This window comes from Homo sapiens, chromosome X (genome assembly GCF_000001405.40).
Source record: "Homo sapiens chromosome X, GRCh38.p14 Primary Assembly".
Classification (NCBI taxonomy): Eukaryota; Metazoa; Chordata; class Mammalia; order Primates; family Hominidae; genus Homo; species Homo sapiens.
In genome coordinates, this window is record NC_000023.11 from 52050814 (window position 1) to 52069935 (window position 19122).

Below are 19122 nucleotides of genomic sequence, written 5' to 3' on the forward strand. Positions count from 1 at the left end.
CTGACAAATTCAAATTTTGAGAAATGTATCGGTCAGAGATATTTTTAATTTTTTTAAATTTAATTTTATTTTTTTTCTGCAGTTGGGGTCTCGCTGTGATGCCCAAGCTGGTCTTGAACTCCTGCCTTCAAAGTGCAGCCTCCCAAAGCTCTGTGCAGTGGTGCTGTCATAACTCACTGCAGCCTCAAACTCCTGGGCTCAAGTGATCCTCCTGCATGAGTCTCCCGAGTAGCTGGGACCACAGATGCGTGCCACCATATAAGGCTAATTTTTTCTATTTTTATAATTTTAGAGATGAGGTCTCGCTACATTGACCAGGCTCGTGTCCAACTCCTGGCCTCAACCAATCCTCCTGCCTCGGTGTCTTGCATAGCTGGGGTTATAGGTGTGAGCCACTGCGCAGAGCTAGGTGAGGGATTATGATGTGACACTCATAGCTCCTTAGTGTTTGGTGATTGTCTCTGGGTGTTCACATGTTCACAGGGAGGTGGAGACATAGACAGATCCCATTACTGAGAGATAAAGAAATCCCTACAATGAAGCAGATTAATGGAGGGACTTCCTTCTTTCCAGGGAGAGAAAAGGGCAGTGCTCAAAACAGGAAGAAAAGCCATGAACGGGAATTCACCGGAAATGGAATGTCCTCAGAAGACCTTATCTTTTCCGTGGGAGGCAGGGGATGGGTGATTCTTTTTGGATTCTAGCAGCATGGATGCTTAGCCATCGCTCACTAGTAGTTTGTTCCACTATAATTTCATGTAGTCACTATTGACCCTTCGCTGAAGTCTGTAACTGGCATAGCGTCTACAGTCCTGTGAGTGGTGCTTTTGGGGATTTAAGGAGCAGAGCAGTCAAGCGAAGCGTTGCCTTCCTGGCATTGCCATTCCCCATTGGTCCTTCTCCAAGGGAAACTGGTCGTGGTCATCCAGACAGAGACCAGGAGCCGAGTGGATCTGAGATCCCCCGAGAGGGGTGTGAAACACAGGGGAGTCACTGGCAGGTGGGCACTCAGGAGTGCATATGAGACAAACCCCCTGACCCAGAGGAGACTGGATGTCGCGCAACATCCGTGGAGGTCAGGAAGATGGGCAGAACTTCATGTGGTTCCTTCTGGCGTAGGGCATGGCTGTGGGTGTGGGTTGCACATTGCAGTGAAGACGAGTTTACTTAGGTATTTTGGACTGAGGGGTTCCAGGACATGGGAAATGGAGGGCAGCTGGGTCCCAGGAGAGGAGAGTGCAGCTGGACAAAGGGACTTCTGAGACTCACTGGAATAAATGGAAAGAAGGGAGGGAAAGTTGGGGGCATATGCCCAGCTTTTGAGTTGTTGTTTATCACAAATTTATAGTGTGGGACGTCTCATGTCGGGCCTGGCACGCTGTTTGTCCAGCCTCTGGTAAGGGGAGTCAATACACAGGAGGTGGTGGGCTTCTCAGGAAGAGGGGCAGGCAAGAGGCCTCTCATTAGTTTGGCTGCTTCCAGAAGTGGGAGACTATCAGAAACCTCCCTCGTCTGAGTCTCCCCAAGGCCCTGGCGGAACAGGAGTGTGGCAGGAAGGGGGAGCCCTAGGAACTTGTCCCATGGTCTGGGCAGAGGTCTCCCAGGCCACAGAGGAGAAGAGGGAGGAGGTGTGTCCTGTGTGACTCTGGCAGGAAGGATCAGGGAGCCCTCCTGAGACAGCGCTTCTGAAATTGGGCTGGCTGGAACTTTCTGTCAGAAAATAGGAATGACTGAAAAAACTCCCCTACTGTGATAGAGGCTAGAGGGTGGTAAAGAGGAAGGTGAGTTGGGGTAGCAGGAATCCTAGGTTCCACAGGCATGGTTTGCAGGTACAATACATTGTTGGTAACATGATGGCTCGGGGACAAAGAAGCCTGTCTCCAAACCGTGCAGGTGCATTGAGAGGATGTAGAAATTCTGGATTCATGTCAGGCCCGTCTGCGTTTCTGCCCTCCTCCACCCAGCATTGAGGGGAGGGCAGGGTAGAACTAAAGCGAATGTTCTTTTCAATCCCTGAATAGGGGCTTGCGTACCTCAGAGGAAGACAGAACACGCACATTTCTCTGCGTTTCTCTTTGTCTCATCTTTAGTCTCTAGGCCATTAGCCCCTGTTGCCATGGGAACTGAAGCTGAGTGTCTGATGCATTCATTGGGCTGTGGGAGAAAAGCAGAGTTGGTCCTTGAAATAAAGGCCCCTGGGAGAGGGGATTCTAGCAAGGCAGTCACATTGAAAGAATTCACAATTCCCACAGATATATTGATCCTTGTGATTATTAGTACACACACACACACACACACACACGCACACATCCCACACACCCCCACCCCATACACACACACACACACACACACACACACACACACACAGGCTTCATCCTGAACAGATACGATGTACAGAGCATCGCACTGGCTGGCCCATAGGGTTCTTGTGGGAGAGGCCAGGCCTCTGTGACCATGAAAGGGGTTGCAACTGATACAGTCAGGGAGGGATCCCAGGAAGGGGAGTGATTCCCTTAAATTTGCTTGTTGAAACCCGTATCTGGCAGGGGAAAGGAGGATCCGGTGCAGAGCTTGGATTCAGCAGAGGTGGCTGTTGATGTGACCAGTCCCCCTGTTTGGGTGGGAAGGCCCTGAATGACACATGCAGCAAGGCAAGAGTGGTCCCGTGCACCCTTTGCTCTTTCTTGGCTTATCCAGCTCCTCCCTCTGAGATAGTCCCATGGGGAGCCCCAGGTTGACCTGGGATGGGGATCCCCTCTTTCCAGGGGCAGGGTAGAGTTCTCAAAGCTGGCAGTTTTCTCCTCCTTTCCCTTTCTCCCTCGCTGCCCCTTCTTCTTGCCCCCTGCTCATCAATCACCCTTTGGTAAAGGACCTCTCCCCTTGTTCCTTTCTCTTTACTCCCTCATCCATTTCCTCTACACTCCTTTCCTCTTTCCTCTCTCTTCCTACCTCACTTCAGCCTCTGTCATCACCTCTCATCTCCCCTCTCTGCTCTCTCTCCTCCATGCCTTGTCTTTCCCTTTGTCCTCCCTCCGAGTTCCCATATCCCTCACTGCCCTTTCTCTCCCTCTTTCCTTTCTCATGTTGTCCTCCCCTGGTTTTCCCCTCATTTTGCTTTTTCCTTCTCTCTATGCCGTTCCCTCCCCTCACCCTCCCCGCCCTCCCCTCCCCTGATACTCACCCAGTGACTAATCCGCAGTTCCTTAAGTGGTACTGGGCGTAACGTGGGCTCTATGTGTTTAGCTTTCAGCCTCGGAGGGCAGTACATCCTAAAGTGAATCACCAACTTAATTATTCCTCTGCAAATTACCATCAGTGATACGAGATTCAACGACAAGGAGCTGTGAGAGCGCACAGGAAGGGAGCTCATTTCTGGGGTGGGCTCAGTGAAGAAAATGTCATTGATGATAGTCCTTGTTCTGCCATCCACCATCCTCTGCTTGCCTCTTTCTGTCACTGCCTTCCCTTTTATGTTGGGGGCAACTCTCCTCTTCTATCTTTTGCAGCAGGGTGGGACTCCTCTCATGGTGTCCTGCCCTCCACACCCCAAGGTGTGAGTTCTCATGAAGTCCAACCGGATGCCCATTTCCTGCAACCTGAGCACCCAACAGACCAAAGAGCATGAGGGGTAGTTTCAACTCGCCCGGGGACCCTTGTTCCTGCTCCCAGCTTCCCCAGGGCACCTTTGGTCATGTACTTCACTCACCCCTTCTCTTTCTCACGTTCACTTCTCACCTCTCTTCCCCCTCCCTCTTTCCTGGCTGCATCCTTTTCTCCTAAGGCTTTACCCCATAAAGACAAAGAAACTGGCTGAGGAGACAAGAGAAAGAAAGTAGCAGAAGATGGGAAGGAAACAGGTGAGTGACACTGACTTAGCTGATTAAGAGAGCTTGATCTTTTTTGAGGGTGTGGGGGGTTCTCGCTCTGTCGCCCAGGCTGGAGTTCAGTGGTATGATCATAGCTCCCTGTAGCCTCGAACTGCTGAGCTCAAGGGATCCTCCAGCCACAGCCTCCAGAGTAGCTGGGAGTACATGTTAATTTTTTTTTTATGTTTTGTTTTTTTACAGACGGAGTCTCACTTGTGTTGCCAAGAGAGCTTGAGCATCAACTGGCAGTGAGGATGGCAGGAAAGCAACTGACTTATCCCCTCTCACCAGACCTTCCAACTGTCTGCAACACTGGCATTGCCACGTATCCCGGCACGTTGTTGGTAATGGTGGGGGCTGTAAATTGCACGATTGCTCTAGAAAGTGTATTTACAAATCACTTAGACGCCCAGATCCCCTCTCAGCTCCTCGTAGCATGACAAATCGCTCTCCCCCCACTCTGGGAGATGGCGGACAAATGTACTCTCTGCAGAGCATGAACCAGCAGATTTATGGGCTTTGGAACTTCAGGCTCACTTCAAGGCATACATCCCAACCCGGCGTAGGGATTTCAGTTGCTGTCTACAGCAATCTTCAGTCCCTCACCTCCGCTGGAGTTTGGCGTCCAGATTGCTGGCATCTTGCCCCTTCTCAGAGATGCAGGAGAGTCTTCCTGTGTAATCTAAACTTCCCCAGAGAGGAGACTTAGTAATATTGGCAGGCAAAGACCTCTGGAGTTTGCTTCATTAGTAAGCTCAAAATATTTTCTTATTTCAACGTTAGTTTTTCTTAGAGCCATGGGTTACTTAGGAGGATGTTTCTTAATTTACCAACATATACGGGGGTTTGTAATGATCTTTTGTTATTAATTTCTAGATCCCATTGTGGCATTGTGGTCAGAGAATATACAAATCGCTGAAGAATCCATTGTTTATGGACATTCCTGGGATAGTATTCATTTAAATATCTCTATGTACACTGTAATGGAATATAATACAAAAATGGAGTTGCACGCAAAATGAGGGTACCACTCAGTAAATGGTTCCACAGGGACGTCTGATCCCCTACGATCTGGGTTAAGAAATGGTGTAGTGTATTGCCGGCAGCTCAAAAGCACTCTCATGCCAGTCACTCTTGTCTTCCACCTCAGCAAATCTAACCACTCTTGTGACTTTTAACACTTGACGATAATCCTGCCTGTTTGTGAACGCATTACACATGAGTAGACTCAGTACAGTACGTATTTTATAATCCGGGTTTCTCTTGGCAACATTAGGTTTTTCTCCTTGCTATTCACTTTTGTCGTGCTGTGTAGCTGAATTTCGTTTCTTTGCATTCCTGCGCAGTGTTTTGAATTGTATGACGATGCCACAATTTATTCATGCCTTTTATTTCTAATGGGCTCTTCAGTAGTTTCCAGCGCTGGAGTGTTAGTGTTATTATTGTGGTGCACGTTCACAAGGATGTCCTTTGGTTAACATGCGTATGCATTTAAGGCTGTGCTTGCAGGACTGCTTTGATTACTTTTTCTTCCTTCATGGCACTGTAAGTGGTGACAGTGGATGTATCTGGTTTTTTTTTCCCCCTGATCTCAGAGGGAAAGCTGTCAACATGTCACCCGTAAGTATCGTTGTTTTTGTAGGCTTTTAAAATATATTCCAACGGAATCAAGAGACTTCCCTTTTGTTCGTAGTTGGCTAAGAGGTTTTATCATAAGTGCATGGTCATTTAAAAAAAATCAAACCCATGAAATACCCTTCCTGCGTCTGTAGGGAATATCATATTTTTTCTCCTTCATACATTACTTCTGAGAGATAGATTTTTCAAGCGCTGAACCGCTTCATTTCTAGAATACTCTTGACTTGTTTGTGATACGTTTTCCTTTTTGGAGATTTAACTGATTTGTTTTGCTAATGCTTTATTCAAGATTTCTTCTTCTGTGCTTATGTAAAAGATAGGCCTGTGCATTTCATTTCTTACCATGCCCTTTAAGGTTTTTCCCTCATAAAACGGGATGGGAAGCATTTCCCGTTTTTTATGTTACTTGGCAAGAAGGTAAGATTGATATTCCTTCCTTCACAAACGTTTTGTAGAATTAATCGGTGGCAGCATCAGAGTCCGTAGGTTCTTGTGGCTGTTGCTGTTGTTTCCTTCAGATTCCGCCCGTTTAGAATTTGTAGGACAATTCAGATGTTTAGTCTGTTTTCTGTCATTTTGTTGTATTTTCTTGAAATGTGTAAATTATATCCAAAGTTTCACGTTTGTGGGCATAAAGTTGCTCATGGTTTTGAATAATGATCTCTTTAATGCCTTCATTGCCCATAGTGATGTCTCCTTAGCCACTCCAGACACGGGTTGCTTCATGATTTCTCTCCTTTTTGTTCAGGCCTACACAAGGCATGTCTTAATCACATCATCTTTTCAAAAAACCACCTCTGGCTGTGTTGTTTTATCTTTAACTGATTTGTACTTTTATCGTTATTTCATTTCTTCTGCTTTCTTCAGGTTTAATCTGTTGTTCAACATGGTTAAGAAAGATGCAAATGTTGTGCCTTTCTTTTTCATGCAATCTAGACAATTAAAATATATCCCATAAGATTTCATCAGGTTCAAAATACTTTGCGATTTCATTGGTGATGTTTTCCTTGAGCTATGGGTTATTTAGAAAATAGGAAATAAAAAGGATGCCTTTTCTAAAAATAAAATGAAGTGAAATAAAAAGGATGCCCTTTTATTTCATTTTCTTGCTTAATTGCCCTCTGAACTTCCGGGACTATGTTGAGAAGAAGTAGCAAAAGCGGGCATCTCTGTCTTGCTCCTGATCTTAGAGGAAAAGCTTTCACTCTTTCGCCATCGTGTACAGTGTTCACAATGAGTATTTTATATAGGACTTTTGTGACGTTGAGGTTGTTTCCTTCTGTTTCAAGGAGTTTGAGTGTTTTTATCACGAAGGGGGTTGACTTTTGTCAGATGCTTTTAGTGCATCAATTGAGCCGATCATGTGGTTTTGTCCTTCATTTTGTTGATGCCGTACACTAAATTAGTTGATTTTCATTGATCGAAACTTCCTTGCATTCCACGAATAAATCCCACGTGGTCATGGGCCTTTCATGTGTTGTTGAACTCGGTGTGCTAGACTTTTGTTGAATATGTATGCACAAACATTCTTTTGGGAAGTGTGTGTGTGTGTGTGTGTGTGTGTGCGCGCGCGTTTCTGGTCCTAGTTCTTCTCTAACTGTTTAGTAGAATTCTCCACTGAAGCCATCTAGTCCTGCGGTTTTCTCTGTTGGGAGGTTGATGAATACTGGTTAAGTCTCCTTATGAGTTGTCGAGATCTGCTGAGATTTTTTATTTCTTCAGGAGTCAGTCTTGGCAGCGTGTACGTTTCTCAGAATTTATCCATTTCTTCTAAAGTATCAAATTTGTTGGGGTATAGTTGTTCCTGGTCTTCTCCTTATAATCTTTTTTATTTCTGTAGTAACAATTGTAATGCCCCTCTGTCATTCTGATTTTAGTTATTTGACCCTTCTCTGTTTTTTTCTTAATCTGCTTAACCTATGTTGACCTTTTCAGAGACACCAGCTCTTAGTTTCATTGTTTTTTTTTTCCTATTATTTGTCTATTCTCCATTTCCTTTATTTGTGCTCTAATCTTTATTACTTCCTTCCTTCTGCTAACTTCGGGTTTACGTTGTTCTTCCTTTGCTAGTTCTCGAAACACAAAGATAGGCTGTTGATTTGAGATCTTTCTTCTTTTTCACTGTAAGGATTTACCACAATAAACTTCCCTCTTAACACTGCTTTCCCTGCATCTCCTTAGTTGTGGTATGTGGTGTTTTCATTGTCATGTGTCTCAAGATACTTTCTAATTTCCTTGTGGTCTGTTCTTTGACCCACTGGTTGTTGAAGAGAGTGTTGTAATTTCCACCTGTTTGTGACTTTTTCAATTCTCCTTCCGGTATTGCTTTCTAGTTTCATTCCATTGTGGTCAGAAAAGATAATTGGTATGATTTCAAACTTCTGAAGTTTGTGAAGATCCTAAATGTCAACAAAAAAGCTAAAGCATAAGACCTCTGGAAGAGAATTCAGGATAAAGCCTTGAAAAACTTGCTGTAGGCGAAGGACTCTTATAGCTATGACACAGAAAGCAATAGCCATGCAAAAACACCTTAAGTGAATTTCATCAAATTTAGAAATCTGGCTTTTCATCATTAGCGAAATGAAAAAGCAAACCATTCATTGCGGCAATGTTTGCAATATATACTACCCGACAATGGAAAAGTTTGCACGCAAAAAAGCACTCTTATAATTCAGTATTAAGACGACAAATGATAATCAATGTGCAAACCATGTGAATGGTTCTTCACATGCAACACGGAACGATATGCAACTGGTCAAGAGAAGAGGCTGGGCCAAGGTCACTAGTGGAGGCAGCGGCAAAGCTGGGTCAGAGATCTCAGGCAAGTCACCTCCCTTCTCTGAGTCTGTTTCCTCAAGTGCACAGTAGTAGCTCAGACGATCTTTGAGGGTGTCACGAGGTAGTGGGCAAAACGCCCTTGGCCCAGGGCCTGATGACGACAAAAACAAGGAGGAGCAGCAGGATGGATGCCCAGGAAGGAAAGCACCCAACCTGATGTCTCAGGAGGCTGGGAGGGCGGTGGCAGGCCTCAGAAACCTAGGGTGGAACCTGTCGTTCAGGGAAGCCGTGAGGGGTAGCGAATCATGCACGATGAAGGGAGATGGGGAGCGGTATGTGCACGTGGGTGCGAGGGTGGGTGTCAGGAGAGAGTGCCCAGCAGGTGGGTGTATCACCCCCAGGACACTGCAAGACCCTGGATGGCAGGGGAGGCCGACAGCAGGGCCCAGTGCACGCACCCTGGCCTCAGAGGGTCCCAGGTTCAAGTCTGTGCTCTGCCACTTCCTGGCTGTGTGACTTGGGGAGAGCATCTTCCCTCTCGGAGCCTCAGTTGGCTGAGACCATGAAATGGCCTTACTGCCCCCACCTCTCGGGCTTGGCCGAGAAACAGAAACATAGGCCCAGATGAGAAATTGTACATGAATATTCAGAACAACTTTATGCATAATGTCAATAACTGGAAACAAGTGAATGCACGAATGCTCGTCCATCGCCAGGCCTGGGGCAGGGGTGATCAGAGGGAGCAGGCCAAGCTGGGAGAAGGCTGTGAGTGCTGTCCACTGACACAGCAGGGCCTCAGAAAACACTTGCTGACATGGACTGTGGGCCTTTGCAGTGCGGGGTCTGCAGAAGGCCCCAGGCCGGGGGCAGGGGGGAAACCTGCCTAGGTCTCCTGTTTGCCATGTGAGTGAGGTGGTGGCCGTCTCCAGGGTGGCCGGTCTGACCCTTCTGCAGGACGCGCAGTCCAGTCCGCCCCCATTTCCCACCAGGGTGCTCTCACCTCCCTGCTCTCCTCCTCTCTTCCCAGGTGCTCTCAGCGCTGCCCCTACAGGGTAGGGGGAGTGGGTCCCTGGTGAGGCCCCACCGCAGCAAGGTGATGTGAAAGGGAGAGTGTCCAGCAAGCCTGGAGGCCTGAGGAGGCCGTGACCTGGCCAGCACCCCACCTCTGAGGGCTGCTTCCTGTTCCTTTCCGGTGGAACTTCCGTATCTCAAGTGCCCTCTGCACACAGTGTTCAAACTCACTCCTGTGGCTTATGGTGACTACCCCCACCCTGATCCAAGGACAGGCATGTGCCCGCTATGTGCACAAGGGTGTCCGGGGAGGTTCCAGCCAAATAGCATTAAATTTATGACGCCAGGGGTGGTGGAGTCCCAGGCATCCCTCATCTCTTCCACAGCCCAGACCACAAACCAGGAGACATAAAGGGAAGGGGACTCCATTGTGTGTGTGTGTGTGTGTGTGTTCCAGTAAAACTTTGGAACTGGATTTCTGTCAGAGTCCCAGAATGTCAGTGTGGCCAAGCATGGACCCAAGCACCAGAGAAGCAGAAATCACAGCGGCAGCCAACACGGAGACCCACCCAAAGCCTTTCTGACGGACAGCTTCTGGGGTGTGCAACCAATGCAGTCTGATGCTCACCAGGGCTCCCCATGTGGCTCCATGCTCTGCTGTTGTTGTTTTGAAATCCTTCATAGTTTTTGACAAGGAGACTCGTGTTTTCATTTTCCACTGGGCCTCCCAAATTAGGTAGCCCGGTCTGGGTCAGGATCTGGCCGTGGCGGAGATGGCAGCCCCTCCTGGGGAAACAGAGGCTGGGGCTGGGTGAGGGGGTGGGAAGCAGGGAGCCTTCCACTGCTATGTTTTCCCTCCTTATCTAGGGCTCTGTCCTCCCAAGCCCTGGACATTACCGGGGAACTCCAGAAGCCCTGGACACTGTCCCTGCCTGCCACTGAGCCCTTCCCAGGAGACCAAACTGTCTCTGCCCTCACTGTCTTGTACCTGAAGCATGTGCAGCCCTACCTCAGACCCCTCCAGACATCACCCAGCCCTTGAACACACCAGGACCTAGGTAGGCCTGGTGTTGTCCTCACTGGGAGAGCCCTGCTGCTGGGGGAGAAGGGCTGCGAAGCTCCAAACAGGCCGCCGTTCCGTCACAGGCAAGGGGCTGTGTACGCGTGCACCGTGCGTTGTTTTTATTACATCCTGCTCCCTCAGCAATCACGGCCCCTCCTTCTACCCACTGGAGGGCTGCGAACATCACTGCGGGGCCCACCTCATTGTCCGTCAGACTCTGTACCGAGGACGGGGTCCTGAACTGTGTGGATGATGAGCCAAGGGTTCCGGAACATCATCTCCAAGGAGGGGGTGTGGGAGGTGGGTCCTGGTGAGAGCCTTGGACCCTGTCCCTCGGCGGGAGGGGCAGTGGCACCAAGCTGCAATTTTCCACCCCGCCCCTGCTGTGGCCCCGACTCTTGCCATGTCCCTGGGGCTGCTGAGCAAGGTTTGTAGAAAATCACATAACGATGAGCACTGGGGCCTCTCCAAACTCCTGCTCACGCACTCAGGCGTAACCAACCTCCGCACCTCCCAGCATCCCACCTGTCCCTGTGGGCCTTTTTGGCAGAGGTGGGGCCCACCTACCCCAGAGAGCCTGAAGAAGTTTCCTTGCTACAAGCCCAAGCGTGGCCAGGTATAGCAATGGGTGTGCAGGTAAAGGAAGAAACATCCAAATTAATTTTGCAACTTTAATGTAACACTGATACCCAAAACATGAAAACACAAGGAAAAGCACAAAATGAAAGCAGGAAGAGCAAAGAGAGCTTCATCTTGCATGCCACCTCCGACTGACAGGAAGAAGCCGCCTAGGGTGCTGTGTCGAGAAGGAATCTGAGAGGAGGCGCTCTGGCTTGGCCAGTAAGATCGCTGCAGTTCGTCAACGGTGCCTATAAAAGCACAAGAAACCAAAGTGACAACATCCGTGGACACACGCGAACCAGGGAGGGGTGTACGTAACAAAATAAGTGTCCGTCCATGCTGTTGCCGTTGCCCCCAGCGCCCCCACCCTGGCCCTCCCTCTGACATCTCACCCCCCTCCGCAGCCCTCCTGCAGAGTCTCATTTCTCTACCGAAACTCTTACTGGATCCAGGAGAAGAAGCTGGCGCCAGCTCTGGCAGCATTTCTGGTCCGGATGGTGGAGCTGGTGCTGGGGCCATCTAGGACGCTGGTGCTGGCCCCTCCATTGGTGCCACTGCTGACGCCAGCTCTCCACGTGGCCCTCCTGTTGGCACGGTTGCTATTCAGAATGTACTGATGGTATCTGGCCCAGAAAGCAAAGGGGATCCTGGCCCAGGCATCGCCAAAATCTCCGTCCTCATCCCAGGTCAGGAGCTCGACTTGTATGTCATCCCAGCTCCACCGTCCAATCAGCGCTTCATCCCCGATATTCATCTGGGCCCTCATCTGGGCCCTGGCATGTTCCTCGGCCATATCCACATCCATTGTCTTGAAAGCATCATCCACAGCCTCCAAGAAATGAGCCTTCCATTCCCGGGGGTCTCGGTTCTGATTCTGAGGAGGAAAAGGGCAGGCATAGACACAGAGCTACCCCACACTGGCTGAGCACCCGCGGCCCGCCTCACCCCCTCCCGTGTGCTTTGTGCAATGATGGCAAAAATCAGGACCACAGGGATTGGGGGCTCCTACTCTCCTGTGCCAGACCTGGGATTTTGCCCCATCTGTGACCTTGTGTAGGGTGCTCAGGTGCCTCTGTGAGTGTTTGGTACCCTCACTGGAATACGGGGTAATGGGAAGGAGGCCTCGACCAAGAAACAAGCAAGGTGTGGAGAGCACCACCCCCGGTGCCGGGCACCCAACAGAGGCGCTCCCTTACCTGGGCGATGAATCTCAGGACCCTCATCTTGCTGGTCTCATGGCGGGCTCGCAGGCCCCAGAGGAATTCATACTCAGGTGGGTTGCTGTTGGGGATCTTCTTGTATTCCAGGTACCTTGGCATGAGAGGAAAGTAAACTTTGCTGCTAGCCAAGCAGACCTGTTGCTGAACGGATGGGTTCCAGGGGGCCCCTCCTCAACCCGATGCCGCAGCTCAGCTCCTGGAAGAGGACTGTCCTGCCCCTCCAGCCCTTCACTCATTCCCAAACCCACTCCCAGGACTTCTGCCTGCAAAAGTGAGGCCTTCAAAGCCTTTTGCCATTGGTCCTCCCCGGAAGCCATGCGGAGGTGCAGGGGGTCCACATGTAGGGCATTTGTCTGTAGGGAGGCCACAAGTTTGTGCCCCTCATCACGATGACCCCAGCTTCCTGTTGGGTGTGTTGTAAACAGAGGAGCCATTCTTCAGGCCCCCTGCTCTGAGCACACCCCACCTCGAGGGTCTTGGCCACACCCCGGCGGAGCCCTGGAGAGGCCCACCAGAGGAAACGACTGGAGAGGAAGAAACAGTCAGCCAGGAGAAGCGTGCTCCAGGCATCCTCCTCAAGTCCTGACCCTTTGTTGGTGTGCATGCGCGCCTGTGCGTTGGCAAGTCCTCCAGGGACGGGGAGAGGGTGGCCCCTGGCCTGAAAATCAGGAGAGTTGGGCTGAGGCCCTTACCAGCTGGGAGCCATGCTCAGAGGCGTCTCCTCTCTGAGCTCCGGGTTCCTTAGGTGTAAACCAGGGGGAACTCTTGTGTCAGTCTACAGGGCAGGTGCTCAAGGTGATGGCGGCCGTTTTCACACCCCACACCGTGTTCTCAGGTGACGTGAGCTCCCTTTTCCCAAGACCGCCCTGGCCTTCGGCTCCCCACACACTCGCATACCCCCCACTGCCACTCACTCCCAGGTCAGAGGCACCCATCCCTCCAGTTGAAGATTTGGGATAGGGAACTGCTTTCTCAGCCAGACCAGCACACAAAGGATGCTCGAGTGAGAGCCGCAGTTAGCTCAGGTGATACTTACTTCTGCTTCACAAAGTCATCTGTGATGAGCTTCCTCAGATCGCCGAGGAATGGGTGCCTCACCCTGAGGGCAAGGAAAGGAATCCATGAGCAGAGACGGTGGCAGGGGCCCTCCCTAGCATGACTATGACTTCCCAGCCCCCGGGGAGTCGCTGTGGAGGCCTGGGCATGCAGCAGAGGCCAGAGGACTGTTGGTCAGGGACGCCCCAGGTAGGGATTTGATGGAATCCCTGACTCTGACTGTCTCTCTTAGATGTCATCTGGGGCCACAGAGCAGAGAGAGGGCTGAGCAGCGTCCAGCACCGCTTCCCCATCCGCCCTGGTGAGATCCTTTGCTCTCTACCGAGCCCAGGGCACCCCACGCCCTTGCGCCAGACCACCAGGCTATTGCAATCCCAGGACCTCTTTGGCCAGAGGATAGCACCGAGGGGAGGAGCTGGAGAGGCCAATCATACCCAGGGCGCAGTCCCATCTTGCGTAGTGCCTCCCAGAGGACAGCTGCGAGGGGAGAGGAGGTACGAGAGTTTGGCACCCAGAAGATGAGACTATGGGCAGCCCCCCAGTTGCAGGTCCAGCCACTCACCCTCGCTGGCACGGTTGCCATTCATGAAGATGACGCCCAGAATCACCAAGAGGAGACTCAGCCTGGGAGTGTCCTTGGTTCTAAAGGTGTGGAAAGAGAAATCCTGTTTAGCAGCTATTTGCCTGAGAGACACCACCAGGCTCTCCCAACTAGCCTCTCTCAGGTTTCCCAGCTTGAGGGGAACTCTTCCCAGGACAGGCACAGTTCACTAGCTGCTGACAGACCATTCGCACCTCCGCCTGAGACTTAATCGCCTCCTCTATAAAACATGGGTACTAACACTTCCCTGACAGGGTTCTGCAGAGGACAGGGCGAGGCAGGGAGCCGAAGCTCTGCAAATGGCAAACGTGTGCCCAGAGATGGCTCCAGACCTTTCCTGCCCCTTCCACATCAGCACCTACACTGAAGAGGCAGCTCTCCCCTAGGCCAGCTCTGCCAGGCCCAGGCCAGGCAGGCAGGAGGAAGAGGCACTTTCCTCCGAAGCTTTGGGGATAAAGCCCGGCAGCAGCTTGGGGAGAACTGATGGCAGCAAGGCCTCACCCCAGGCTATCATTCCTTTCATCCAGCAGTCACCAGGCAGCCCTCGCTGTGTGTGGGAGCGGTGCGCCGCACTCAAGCCCCGTCTTCCTGCTTCACTGAAGGGGTGTGGGCAGGGAAGGGACACCACCGAGGAAGGCCACGACCCGCTTTCCCTTTCTTACTTTCCAAGGAGGCGAGCTGAGGAGTCCCGTGTGCAGACAAGAATATACAGGTGTTCTTCCTTGTCGATCTCCTTCAGGTGGATCCCAAACTTCTACGTGGGGGAGAAAACAGAGTGTGAGATCCAAACCCCATGCTGGGCATCCTGCCGGCAGACAGTGATTCCGGGTTAGAACTGCTCCTCAGCAAGGAATCCAAACTCGTGAGCGAGGGCAGAAGAAGACAGCACACGGAAGACCTTCGCTGTGGGAGCTGACGCTGGCAGAGGCGATGAGACCCACCTGGCCAGACGGCGAGACACTCAGAGAGCATGAGAGAGAGAAGCCGAGGGCAGGAAGCACGAGTCAAACTGCCAGTGCAGTGGAAGCTCAGAGTCGGAGAGGTGAGAGATGGCTCCAGAGACTGGGCCTTGAGGGGCTGCAGGGTCACCGCACCCCCATGCCCGCTCTTCCCCCACAGAGCTGCTCCCATCCTGCACCCACCTTTTCCAGGGTGTACGTTGCTCGTTCAATGATCTCAGGGAAATGTTCATCATATTCTCTGATGACATCCTTCAGCATGTCTGCAGGAGGGGGAAGAGTTGGAGAAAGCACCTGGGCTGAGCAGGGGTCATAGAGCTGTAGCCCCTTGGTCAGCTCTGCCGAGGGTGACGCAGCCAGGACCCCGTCCTGTGGCTATGGAGGGACCAGCCGTGGCACGCAAGCAAAGGGATGCCCACAGACTAGGGGATGGTGAAGGGGGCACAGGCTGCCTACCTGCGCGCTTGATGGGGATCTTCTTGTAGTCCTTAATCATCAGGTATTTCACCAACTTATTTGCCTGGAGAAGGAGGAACATGCGGGGAGGTCAAGGCATGGGTGACAGCAGAGACGTGGCCCACAAGGGAGGAGAGGAAGGAGATGGGGGAGGGTGGGCTTCTTACCCTCTCCTGCAGAAGGGTCACGTTGCGGGGGGGCAGGCACAGTACGTGCCTTGAGGGTATCTGGGACCTCGGGGCCATCGGGGGCCGAGGGGCCAACTGAGCCCGCACCGTCAATGAGGGCTGTGATGCTCTCCAGGTGGGTGGGACCGCGGGAGTCTCTCTCTCCTCCTCGCTGCTCTCATACTCATCATCCAGGTGCTTGGACTGTATCATTTGAGAGAGGAGAGACCCAGGGCTACCAGGCTCCCCGTGCCAAAGCACCCGGCACGCACCTCACCCGTAGCAGGCTCTTGGAAATGAGAGCAGTACCAGCAGCGGCTGGCATGTGCTGCGTGCTTACTAAGTGCCAGGCACTGAGCCAGCCTCTTCTCCCACCAGTCCTGAGGGTAGGGACTACGTGGAGTGAAAACATGCTCAGCAAACTTGTGTTGGAGAAACATGGACTAGCTGAGAGGAGAGGAGGGGAGGAGAGGGGAGGTGAGGAGAGAAGGAGGGGAAAGAGGAGAAGAGAGGAAGAAGGGGGAGAGGAGAGGGAGGAGAGGAGCAGGAAAGGGAGGAGAAGGAAAGGACAGGAGCAAGGGGGTGTGGAGGTGGCAGGGGGCAGGGGGATCTCACCTTCTTGGTCCTCTTGCCTCCCATCCTGGCCCAGGGCTCAGCACTGTGCTGAGCAGTGGCAGCAGCTGCACCCTCCGGCTCAGGGATGCTCGTGGCCATCTTGGCCTTGGCAGCAGCTGCTGCCACAACATTCTGAGGCTCCACCCACCGAGTCTTGGCCAGCGCCTTCCCCGACTTGGTGGTCTTGGGCCGGGTGGCTGCCACCTCCCTGCCAGGTCCCGTCTGGGGCACACCAGAGGCAGCACTGGGGCCCTCTGTGGCAGCCTCTTGGGCTGGGGCAGGTCTCTTGGGGCGCGGGAAGGCCATGCCACTGACACCTGCCGGCTGAGTGAAATCGAAGACATCATTCTGGCCCAGGAAGGCTGTGCTGGGCCGGTTGGCGTCCACCTCCCTGGCACACGGAGCCTGAGAGAAAGCACAGGCGCTACTAGGGCCCTCAGTAGCAGCCTCCTGGGCCGGGGAGCCTGTCTGGGACTGTGCGGAGGTTGCCGGAGCCTCGGGGGCAGCCATCTTACTGGTGACTAACATCTGGGAGGTCTGCGGAGAAGCAAGGGGTGGCTCAGGGGTGGGCCCCTGAGCCTCGGCGGCGTAGGTCGTGGGCTGGGTATCCTCTCCTGAGACCTGCGGCGTGGCCACCCGGTGGCTAGCGACCACCTGACTGAAGGCGGTACGGGCAGCGGCGGCAGCGGCCCGAGCCGCACGGTTGGAGGCGGCGGCGCGGGCTACGTTGGCAGCACGGGCGGCCGTCTCATTGGCAAGTGTTTCCGGATCCAGCTGCAATGCCTCCACCAGGGTCTGGGCCAGCACAGGGTTTTCCAGTTCCCAGGGCTCATTCTGCAAGGCCAGAGAGAGGGGTTGGGGAAGGCAGGCCACTCGACGACATACTTGTGTTAGCTTCCCTGTGCTGGCCAGCCTCTTCCCAGCAGTCAGCCCTGAACACCCCAAGACCTTCCCAAATCTTCTTCTTCCGAGCAGGGGAGGGAAGGCTTGGGAAGCTGGGCAGTCCTTTCCCACACAACCCTCCTGGCTCCCCCCTCCTCCCTCCCCCATTCACAGGGGAAAGGCCCAGGCCAGCAGGTGTCCAGGAAGGGGCCTCACCGATAAGATGCGAAGGCCTGGACCCAAGCTTCCGAAGGCTCTGAGGATATGGATGTCAAAGCTGGTGAGGGTGCCATAGCCACCAAACGCACCGAATTCTTCATAGTCGTTGCCTTCAACCATCTCTTCCTCCCCGACTTCGTCGCTACCCTCATCCATGTCTTCAACACTGTAGCTTTCCGATTGCACGCTGAAGCTTCCCTCAGCCATGCTGCGGGTCCCAGGGAGATGAGAGCTCAGCCTGAGAGGGAGGGTGAAGCAGCTGCAGGGGGAGGGGGCGGGATCCAATGGGAGGCGGGATCTCCCGGGAGGTGAGGGGCGACAATCATCAGGTTACTAGGCAATATTAGGCAGTAGGGGGCGGGGGGGGGGAGGAGGAGCGGGGGGGAGACGGTTTGGCTTTCTGATGGGGTAGACCTGGTCAGGGACAGAGCCCAAGGAAAGGGACAGAGGAGGTCGCAGGAGGCGCCGCACTGAAAGCGGAGTTTAGGATGGGCAGGCTCGCCATCCCAGCGGCTAGATTTGACGAGGGGGTGTTCTGGAGGGCTGGGGTCCGAAGAGTCCCAAAGGGAATGCATTGGGGAAGAGAGAAACAAAGGGTTTGGATTTACGGGCCAGAGAAGGGGACCGGGATGAAGGGGGAGCAGATGGGAGAGCTCAGACAACAGGGACAGTGGCAAGCCGCAAGCTCTGCGAAACAGAACCCCAGGGACCTTTGGCTAGGTCCGGGCGGGGGGCCTAGGTGGGGCTCAGACTCGAGCACTAGAGGCGGATGGAGTGGGGGCCTCAGACCTAGGTGAGGCTCCAATCGGAGCGCTGCAGATCTCAAACGCGAGGACTGGGCACTCCAGGAAGGGGGCAAGCGGTCAGCTCGGTTCGAGTAATCTAGGAGTGGTTGGGGTGGGGGTGGGGCCTCAGGTCCAAGGGAGCTCAGCTCGGAGCACACGGGTCTGCTAAAGGGGTGAGGATCCTGGGCTCCGGTTTCAGTAGGGCTCAGATCGGGGCGCCTGGGTCTGATGGTGATGGGGGCTCCTATCTAGACCTTGGGTCTAATGGGGTTCCGGTTCTGAGTGCTTGGGCTTTGTTCAGATCCGGAGGCGGAGGGAGGGCGCAGCGTGTCGGGTTCCACTCGCCCTCTCCCGGTCCTGTCTGGGGCTGGATCCTTACCTTCTCGGGAACTCCAATGGCGTCCGTCCTCAGCACCAGGAACCCCGCAGCCGCGCCCTCGCCTACTGCTGCCAGCACAGCAGCCCGGACCACCCCGCCCCTTTTCTCCGTGCACCCCCCGCGGCTGGGTAGCCTGCGCATGCGCGGACCCCTCCAGCCCGCCCGCTTTCCCAACAAAAGCCCTTTCCTCCAGGTCTCCAGTGCGCATGCGATTCCGCGGGTGGGTGGGCGGTGGGGTCGAAGGTAGGGTGCGGGGGGCTCTTCCCGCCAGATCCACTTCACCTCTCCTCCTCCTCCTCCTCCTACCGCGGGCGCGCACACTCATACCCTGCAGTGCAGCTCGACCCACCCAATCATCTCTTCTCAGTCCCCCCACTTTTGCACAATGCTTCTCTGTCCTGCCCTGCCCTTTCACCCAAACTCCTCCAGCCTGGTCTGGGATACACTATGCCCCGTTTCCCCGGCAAGACCCCTTAGGTCACAATTAGTGAGGTCTCACAATTAATAAGCTGGGTCTCTAACTGCAACAAGTGGAAATCCTCAACCTGCGGGGCTACGAAATGGACATGGCCAGAGGATGGCACTTCGCTTTGTGTGCTTCTCCACTAGCCAACTCTCTGGCCCCCAGACATACTGGGAACATCTGCTTCCTCAGCTACCCTTTATGCAGCTTGTATGTCACAGAGGGATCTGTGCTGGGGCTTTTCTTCCTCTCACAGCAGCGCTGGGAAGTGGATGTCAGCATCCCCATTTGGCGTGTCAGGAAGCTGAGGCACAGACACATTGCATGAACTAGACCACAGAGC

The 19122-nt window shown here is 53.2% G+C and overlaps 1 protein-coding gene, 2 long non-coding RNA genes and 1 other non-coding gene across 7 annotated transcripts; 1 reads left to right on the forward strand and 3 right to left on the reverse strand.

The window, feature by feature from the left end:
- Nucleotides 1-357: 357 nt before the first annotated feature.
- On the reverse strand, nt 358-3442 carry LOC401589 (Putative uncharacterized protein FLJ39060). Its single transcript, NR_188270.1, has 2 exons — nt 3182-3442; nt 358-2154 (listed from the first exon to the last, which is right to left on the reverse strand). It is a non-coding gene; the product is annotated as a Putative uncharacterized protein FLJ39060 (long non-coding RNA).
- On the forward strand, nt 1892-7669 carry LOC105377208 (uncharacterized). The gene is made up of 3 exons (XR_001755855.2): nt 1892-3857; nt 4068-4210; nt 4743-7669. It is a non-coding gene; the product is annotated as an uncharacterized LOC105377208 (long non-coding RNA).
- On the reverse strand, nt 11014-18459 carry MAGED4B (MAGE family member D4B). 4 transcript variants are annotated; one of them, NM_001242362.2, is made up of 14 exons: nt 18317-18459; nt 17150-17411; nt 16052-16885; nt 15437-15640; nt 15270-15333; nt 14997-15076; nt 14517-14608; nt 13816-13895; nt 13688-13730; nt 13234-13296; nt 12890-12937; nt 12174-12288; nt 11421-11851; nt 11014-11225 (listed from the first exon to the last, which is right to left on the reverse strand). In NM_001242362.2, the coding sequence occupies exons 2-14, from the start codon at nt 17357-17359 to the stop codon at nt 11216-11218; spliced, it is 2274 nt and encodes a 757-aa protein (NP_001229291.1). In that variant the 5' UTR covers nt 17360-17411; nt 18317-18459; the 3' UTR covers nt 11014-11215. The 4 variants fall into 4 exon arrangements, with proteins under 4 accessions (NP_001229291.1, NP_803879.1, NP_803881.1 ...); NM_177535.3 differs by lacking the exon at nt 12890-12937 and having other exon boundaries at nt 17150-17360; NM_177537.3 differs by lacking the exon at nt 12890-12937 and having other exon boundaries at nt 11409-11851; nt 17150-17360.
- Nucleotides 12534-12660, reverse strand: SNORA11E (small nucleolar RNA, H/ACA box 11E). Its single transcript, NR_102368.1, has one exon. It is a non-coding gene; the product is annotated as a small nucleolar RNA, H/ACA box 11E (small nucleolar RNA).